This window comes from Homo sapiens (assembly GCF_000001405.40).
Source record: "Homo sapiens chromosome 17 unlocalized genomic scaffold, GRCh38.p14 Primary Assembly HSCHR17_RANDOM_CTG3".
Classification (NCBI taxonomy): Eukaryota; Metazoa; Chordata; class Mammalia; order Primates; family Hominidae; genus Homo; species Homo sapiens.
Window position 1 is genome coordinate 131,214 of NT_113930.2, and position 9,468 is coordinate 140,681.

General features: G+C 40.1%; 1 pseudogene; it reads left to right on the forward strand.

Annotated features, from left to right (window-relative positions):
- Window positions 1-3,815: 3,815 nt before the first annotated feature.
- LOC101929749 (carboxy-terminal domain RNA polymerase II polypeptide A small phosphatase 2-like) lies at window positions 3,816-5,355 on the forward strand (annotated as a pseudogene).
- Window positions 5,356-9,468: the final 4,113 nt, after the last annotated feature.

Below are 9,468 nucleotides of genomic sequence, written 5' to 3' on the forward strand. Positions count from 1 at the left end.
ATTGTAAATTTAAGATTATTTCCCTGATGACTCACCAAGATAGAATAAAATAATCACTGGAAACCAAGAAAAGAGGGAAATTTATAGCACTAATGTCCACATCAAAAAGATAGAAAGGGCTGGGTGTGGTGGCTCATGCCTGTAGTTCCAGCACTTTGGGAGGCTGGGGTAGGCAAATCACTTAAGGCCAGATGTTCAAGACCAGTCTGGACCACACAACAAAACCCCACCTCTACAAAAAAAATTCAAAAATTAGCTGGTTTTTGTGATGCACATCTGTAATCCCAGCTACTCAGGAAGCTGAGACAGCAGAAATCACTTAAAACTGAGAAGTGGAGGTTGCAATGAGCGGAGATCATGCCACTGTACTCCAGCCTGGGTGACAGAGTGAGACTCTGCCACAAGAAGAAAAAAAAGAGAAACTAGAAGATCTAAAATTAACAGCCTAACATCTTGATTAAAAGAACTAGAAAACCAAGTGAAAACTAACCAGAAAGGTAGCAGAAAACAAGAAATAACCAAGATCAAAGTAGAGCTGAGGGAGATAGAGACACTGAAAACTCTTCCAAAAAAAAAAGTCAACAAATCCAGGAGCTGTTTTTATGAAAAAAATTAATAAACTAGATGGAACACTAGCTAGGCAAATAAATAAGAAAAGAAAGGAGAACCAAACACAATTAGAAATAATAAGGGAGATATCATCACTGATCCCATGGAAATATGAACAACAATCAGAGAACACTATAAACATATGTATGCACATAAACCAGAAAATCTAGAAGAAATAGACAATTTCCTTGCAAAATAAACCCTCCACAAGACTGAACCCTGAATAGATCAATAATGTGTTCTGAAACTGAGGCAGTAAAAACTAGCCTACCAAGCAAGCTGAATTTGAGCAGAGGTACAAAGAGGAGATGGTACCTTTTCTCCTAAAACCATCCAAAAAAAATTGAAGACAAAGAAGTTCTCTCTAACTCATTCTATCAGGCCAGCATCATCCAGATACCAAAACCTAACATAGATACTACAACAACAACAACAACAACACATCATGCCAATGTCTTTGGTAAACACTGTGCAAAAATCCTCAATAAAATACTGGCAAACCAAATCCAGCAGCACATTAAAAAGTTCATCCGCAACAATGGAGTTGGCTTTGTCCCCAGGATGCAAGGTTGATTCAACATATGCAAATCAATAAATGTGACTCATCACATAAAGAGAACTAAATACAAAAACCACATGATTATCTCAATAAATGCAGAAAAAGCATCCAATAAAATTCAGCATTCCTTCAGGTTTAAAATTCTCAATAAACTAGGAAGTGAAGAAACATACCTGAAAATAATAAGAGCCATATACAACAAACCCACAGCCAATATCATACTGAATGTGCAAAAGCTAGAAACGTTCCACCTGAAAACTGGCACAAGAAAAGAATGCCCTCTTTCACCACTACCATTCAATATAGTATCAGAAGCCTTGGCCAGGAAAATCAGGCCAGAGGAAGAAATAAAGAGTATTCTAATAGAAAGAGAGGAAGTCAAATTATCTTTGTTTGCAGATGACCTGATCCTACATCTAGAAAACCTCATTGTCTCAGGCCCAAAGCTTCTTAAGGTGATAAGCAACAGTAGCAAAATCTCAGGATATAAAATCAATGTGCAAAAGTAGCTAGCATTCCCATGCACAAACAACAGGCAAGCAGGGAGACAAATCATGAATGAACTTTCATTCACATTTGCTACAAAGAGAAAAAAATACCTAGGAATACAGCTAAGAAAGAAAGTGAAGGACCTCTTCAAGGAGAACCACAAACAACTGCTCAGAGAAATCAGAGTGGACACAAAACAGATGGAGAAATATTCCATGCTCATGGAGAGGAAGAATCAGTATCATGAATATGGGCATATGGCCCTAAGTAATTCATAGATTCAATGCTATTCCCATTGAACTACTGACATTCTTCAGAGAATTAGAAAAATAAAAACTTTTAAAGTTCATATGGAACCAAAAAAGAGCCCAAATAGCCAAGCCAACCTTAAGAAAAAAAAAAAAAGCTGGAAGTGTCACTCTACCTAACTTCAAACTATACTAGAAGAGTACAGTAACAAAAACAGCATGGTACTGGTATAGAAACAGACACATAGACAAATGAAACAAAGTAGAGAACCTAGAAATAAAGCCAAAAACCTACAACAACCTGATCTTTGACAAAGTTAACAAAAACAAGGAATTAGGGAAAGGTGTCCCTATTCAAAAAATGGTGCCAGGAGAACTGGCTAGCCATATGCAGAGAATTTAAACTGGAACCCTTCTTAACACCATGTACAAAAATTAACTCAAGATGGATTAAAGACTTAAATGTACAACCCAAAACTATAAAACCCTTAGAAGAAAAAATCTAGATAATACCATTCAGGATATAGGCATGAGAAAAGACTTTATGACAGAAAGGCAAAAAGCTATAGCAACAAAAGCAAAAATTGACTAATGGGGTCTAATTAAACTAAAGAGCTTCTGCGGAGCCAAAGAAACTATCATCAGAGCAGACAACCTAGAGAATGGGAGAAAAATTATGCAACCTATCCATCTCACAAATGTCTAATATCCAGAATCTAGGAGGAATTTAACAAAATTTACAAAAGAAAAAAAAAAGGCCCCATTAAAAAAGGGTCAAAGAACATGAACAGACATATCTCAAAAGAGGACATACATGTGCCCAACAAACATGAAAAGCTCAACATCACTGATAACTGCATAAATACAAATCAAAACCATAATGAGATACCATCTCACACAAATTATAATGGCTATTAATAAAAAGTAAAAAAAAAAAAAACAGATGCTGGCGAGGTTGTGGAGAAAAGGGAACACTTTTACACTGTTGGTGGGAGTGTAAATTATTTCAAGCATTGAGGAAGAGAGTGTGGAGATTCCTCAAAGACCTAGAAGCAGAACTACCATTTGACCCAGCAATACCATTACACCCAAAGGAATATAAATAATTCTATTTTAAAAATACATGTATACAAATGCTCATTGCAGCACTATTTACAATAGCAACATCATGTAATCAATCTACATGCCCATCAATGATACACTGGATAAAGGAAATGTGGTACACATACACCATGGAACACTATGAAGCCATAAAATATAATGAGATGATGTCCCTTGCAGGGACATGGTTGGAATTTGAAGCCATTACTCCCAGCAAACTAATGCAGGAACAGAAAACCAAACACCGCCTATTATTATTCTAACTTATTAGCAGAAGCAGATCAATGAGAACACATGGACACATCAGGAAGAACAACACACACTGGACACCTGTTTCATGGCATGGGGGAGGGGAAGGAGAGCATCAGGAAGAATAGCTGCGGATGCTGGGCTTGGTACCTGGGTGATGAGATGATCTGTGCAGTAAACCACAGTGGTACGCATTTATGTATGTAAGAGACCTGCATAGTCTGCACATGGACCCCTAAACTTAAAATAGAAGTTGAAAAATAAACTTTATCACATATGGACCCCTGAACTTAAAATAAAACTTGAAAAAAAAATGTGTTTCTAGTGGATTCTCTATGTTAGACCCAAACTGAGGATCTTGAAGCTCTCGCTGGGGGAATCGGGGATGGGGGCACACTGGGGAGCTGCTGCCAAGGCCAACCACCCTCCCTACAAGCCACCTCCCTTCCCGACCAGTATGGAAAGGAGAAGGGGTATGTGAACAGCTGTGGAGGTCAGAATCTCGGGAACTGAATCAGGCCCCAGCCCATGCCCCCCAGCCCAGCCCTCAGGATTGTTAGATGGAACAAGGCTCCATCATCACCCAGGCATGGAGGGAAGATGCCCTGGTCCTTACCAAGCAAGGCCTGGTTTCCAAAGTCCTCTCCGAAGAGGCCTCATGTTTGCCACATCTTAAAAGTCCCCTTTCTGCTGTTCTTGCACCCAGCATGTTGGACAGTCAAGTTCCCCCGCTGAGCAATCCACACATAAGGAGGGAGTCAACACCATTGCTATGTCGGATCAGCTCCAGCGTCTCCAATATCAGTTTTATCAGATCCCAGGAACCTGCCTGCTCCCAGAGGTGACAGAGAAAAATCAAGGAAGGATCTGTATGGTCACTGACCTGGATGAAACCCTTGTGCATAGCTCCTTTAAGCCAATCAGCAATGCTGACTGCCTAGTGCCTGTAGAGCTTGAGGGGACCATGCACCAGATCCATGTGCTCATGAGGCCTTATATGGATGAGTTCCTGACATGAATGGAGGAAATGTTTAAATGTGTTTTCGTCATTGCTCTCTTCTTCCCAGCCTGAACAAGTAGGCAGATCCTGTGACGGGTGAGCTGGACGGGTATGGGATGGTTTGGGGCTGCCTGACCCATGAGTCATGTTTGTTTCACCAGGGCTGCTATGTCAAGAACGTCAGCCATCTGGGGAGGGACCTGAGGAAAACTCATCCTGGACAACTAGCCTGCTTCTTACCTCTTCCACACAGAGAATGCAGTGCCTGTGCAGTCCTGGTTTGATAACATTCCAGACAGCAGCTGCTGCACCTGATATCATTCTTTGAGGAGATGAGTGGAGGAGCAGAGGGCCTCTGCACTAGCCTTGGGCAGCAGTGGGCCCTTAACCTTCCCTGCTTCCCAGCAATGGCCATCACAGTAGGGGATTTTCCCACACTGTGCCTCTATGATCAGCCTGAAAGAGTGAAGGCTGGAACACCTACCCACATGGGCCTGGAAAGAGTGAGAAGTGATTGAAAAGAGCTTTAGGACAGCTTAGATGCCCAGTGGGTGAATGCCAGACCAAGGATACCCAGAGCTACCTGCCATCAAGTTGTTGGGTTCCCAAGATGTGGGTGTGAGAGAAAGAAAGAGAGCATGTGTGTTTTGTGATGAACTGTGGCCCCAAGTATATAGTGTTTCAGTAGGGGAGAAGCTGAAGTACAAAGACTCTTCCCAAGCTAGCTTGTCTCCTCTCCTGTCACCCTATGAGCCCCTGAGATCCATAGGGATGAAGAGTATTGAAGGCTCCATTGCAAACCTGGTCTTTCTACAGTGCTACAAGGCCTATGCCAAAGAGAAAGGAAAGGTACGTCTTTGGGTGTTCCAGGCACACATCTTTCTGAAATATTTCTCCAGCCAGTTGTTGCAGACAAAAGACGACATTTCTGGGAAGATGGGGACTTATGTTCAGACGAGTACCCAAACTATCAGGTCTTCTGGTCCAAAGGCTATTTTTACTTACCTCTAGCCAAGTGCCTGGGATGGATCCTTCCTGCATCTCCCCAAGGCTCACCACTTAGCCATAGCCTCAAACCCGTGGGGAAGGAAGGTCTACCCGCCCTGCAAGAGGACAAATAACTGATTTTTGTTCATTTGACTCTGTTTTAAAATTCTCTTTAAAAGAAAAAAACAAAAAAAAGAAAAAGAAAGCGTATCTGAAACTTAAAAAAAAAAACAAGGAAAAAAGATGAAAAAAATGACATACATAGGTGAAAAACACATAGATATATGTATAAGCAACAAACACGGCTAATTCACATATAAATTAAATATCACATTGTCATAAAGTGTACCGAGTTAAAAAATTATCATTCAACTCATGATATCAAGCTTTAAAAGCAAAAATACAATTAACTGATCTGAGAAAACATACCCCCCCAAGAAAAGAAACACAACAACACAGAATTGAACATAAGAAGAGAGATTAAATGCATAAAATCCTGAATACAACATAAATATACAATGAAAAATAAGCCCTTTTTTTTTTTTTTTTTTTTTTTGAGACAGAGTCTCACCCTGTCGCCCAGGCTGTAGTGCAGTGGTGCCATCTCGGCTCACTGCAAGCTCCGCCCACTGGGTTCACGCCATTCTCCTGCCTCAGCCTCTCGAGTAGCTGGGAATACAGGCACCCACCACTATGCCCGGCTAATTTTTTCTATATTTAGTAGAGACGGGGTTTCACCATGGTAGCCAGGATGGTCTTGATCTCCTGACCTCGTGATCCACCCACCTTGGCCTCCCAAAGTGCTGGGATTACAGGCGTGAGCCACCATGCCGGGCTGAAAAATAACCCATTAGATATCTACAGCTTTAAACTGTGTGCAGTCATGAAAAGCAGACATTGGAAGTCATTGGCATTTAATAAATTGCAGAAAAATTATACAGTAAATACATTACAATCATTAATAATAGGCTCTAATGAGAAGAATTTAATAAATAATCATTAAAAAGACAGCAGAATTTTATCTGTTCTCAATATGTTGCTGCTCTTCTTATCAAATACTATAATAAAACTATATGACTATAATATAGCTTTCAGGAGCTAAAAAAAGCCTTATATTTTCAAATAAAAGAACAATATAAATTTTGCAAAATACAATGAGCATTACTGAAGTATAAAGTAAATATTTGGAATTAAAATATATGGTCATTTAGATACAGACTAAAAAAGAATAGAAATCTTAATGATTCCTTTCTGCCTACAGTGAGCTTAAAATTACAACCAAAAATTTTAACAAATATGTAGCACCTACAAGAAATTTTATTAACAGCTTACATAATGTATAAATTTGAGCAATTTATTTTAGAACTTTTGAATCTGAAAATCACCTGCTTGACATTCATTTGAGAAAGTGAAACATAAAGGAGAGTAACATAAGCAAGACGACAGAATGTGAGGTTCTGCATCCACATCCCCCACGACATAATGCAGCTGCCACAGCAAACATAAGTGCATTCATGAAAGCCTTGGAATCCAGTTCAGAGTTTGTGGCACCCAGCTGGAGGCAAAGACCAAGGAAGACATTTTCAGAGGGTGAGCACTTGACCAAGTGGCAAGCTTGCCAATCATGGTCCCGGCTTCAAAACAGAATACTGCCACATCTTACTGTAGACTTGGCTATAACTCATTTGACCTTGGTCCTGCCACTGCAACAATCTGTGAAAAACACAAGAGAATTCATACTCACCTGAGACTTAGGTGACAGGCCTGCAGAACTTGGTTCTCTCTATAGTCACTGAGTCAGGCAAAACACACCTTCTTTCCTTCTCCAGCCATGGTCTGGAAGAAATCTTCACATTGATATGATGAAATGCTAACTAACAATATGAAAAATACTAAAGTATAAATGTCACTAAAATGGTAAATACATACTGAATTTCAGAATACTATAAATTGTTATCATCTTAAACTAGACTATTAAAATACAAGATGTTTTACCTAAGTCTCATGATAACCACTAGGAAAAAAAAACTGCAGTAAAGAAAAAGAGAAAGTAATTAAAGCATACACAAACAACAAAAATTACACATTGGATATGGTGTCTCCTGCTTATAATTCCAACACTTTGGGAGGCCAAGGTGGAAGGATGAAATCTCCTTGGGTGTTGTGGTACGTGTCTGTAGTCCAAGCTACTTGGGTGGCTAAGGTGGGAGGATTATTTGAGCCCAGGAGGTTGAAGCTACAGTGAGCTGTGATATGCCACTGCACTTCAGTCTGAGCAAGAAAGCATAACTTTGTCTCAACAAAAATGAACAATACCACAGGAAAGACAGAACCAGAAAAAAAAGAAGCAAACTTAAAATGGACAGAAAACTACAAATTTACAATAGTAACTCCTTACCTATCACTACCTTACAAATAAAAAGATTAAAGTATCTACTAAACAGATACTGCTGTACACTGAATGTCATCTCCAAAATTTAGGATAAAATTTAATAGCCAACATGTTAGAATTAAGAGGTGGAACCTTTAAAAATTAATTAAGCTCTAAGAACTCTGCCCTCATGAATGGATTAATGTTCTTATTATGGGAATGGGCTAATTATAACAAGAATGGATCTGTTATATATTAAAAAAAAAAGCTCTCTCTCCCTCACATCTTTGTCTATGTTATTATCCAGCAACTAGACCTTCAACATATACCAGTATCATGTTGTTTTGGCTTCCCAGCCTCCAGAATCATAAGTCAAATAAAATTCTATTCTTTATTAATTACCAGTGTGTGATATTCAGTTATAGCAGCCAAAAGAGACTAAAGCAGACAGAGTGGATAAATTAATCGTTTAAACCTCGTAATATGCTGCTTACAAGAGACTCAATTATGAATTAAGAGCATAGGCTAAAAGTGAAAGGATAGAAAATGATATTCCATGCAAACAATAACCAAAGGAGTGCAACGGTAATGCTTAAATTAGACAAAATAGACTTTCTAGCAATGTCTCTCACAAGCATGAAATGAGTTTACCATAGAATAATAATAGAGGTTAATTTCTCAAGAGAATATAGCTTTATATATTTATGCACCCAAAAGGGAGGCTTCTAAATATAAAAAGCAAATATTGCCAGAACTGTAGGGAGAAGTAGAAAGAAACCAAATAATAGAAAACTTTAATGAAATGTATAATAAAGGACATATAGTTAACAGCATTGTAAATTGGCAAGGGAAAGCTGGTCTCATGTGTTGCATTTGAGAATGCAGCAAAGAAAGTGGGAACTGATAATTTTACTGCAAGCCTGAGTTAGGATGAAAAACAGGGTGGTCGATTAGAGGTTCCACTTGCCATACATTAAAAAAACACAGGAGAAAACCAGTCCTCCTCTGGAGTGTTAAAATAATTAAAGATCAGAAAATTAGTCTAAAGTGGCTCTAGTGCCCTGTGTTCATAGGTAAAAAACAAAAAACAAACAAAAAAAAATCTAAAACCTAACTCAAATATATTTCCTATAAAACACTATCTTAGCCTGAAGCAAAATGCAGGTTTAACCCATGACAAACATGCAATTAACCTCTGAATATGTAACCAGGACATTTCCATCTGGATAGTTCAAATAAGGCTACCATATAACTGGAACCAATTCTTGAATTTGGGCTGCTTTCTCATGCATCTTATGAAAGCCTTTCCTTTATGCCCCTCTGGTGGACCAGAAATCATGGCTGGGTGCTTTCCATTTCACCAATCACTCTTTGTTCAGATAAACTGGTTAACGTTTAACATAGACTCCCGTTAATTTTTAACAAGAGAGACTGGGGACCCCACGGGCCGCAGCTCCTCCCACGCAAACACCCAGTCGCGGTTTTTCCCTGATGACCCACCAGGCCTCCCTGAACAATCTGGGAAATACTCATGGCTGTGGGCGCAGAGCAGGGCGCTGCCCAGGGACAGGACCGGATGGGCCGGACGGGACGTGGGGCCCTCGCTGCTGGCCCAGCGGCCATCTTGCAGCCACAGGGGACTGAGGGCCAAGCTGCGGGAGACTCGGAGCTAACCGTGGGGAGGACGGTCCTGCCGGTTTCACAGTCTGTTCTCCCCTCTCGGGATGGCGAACCCCGTATACTCACCATTTCCCAGCTTCCAGGATGTCCTGGCACCTTGACTATGCGTCCCCAAGGACCTACAGATCACAGGGCAACAGGGGCTGTGGGAGAGTAGCCCGGGGCTCCCAAGGTG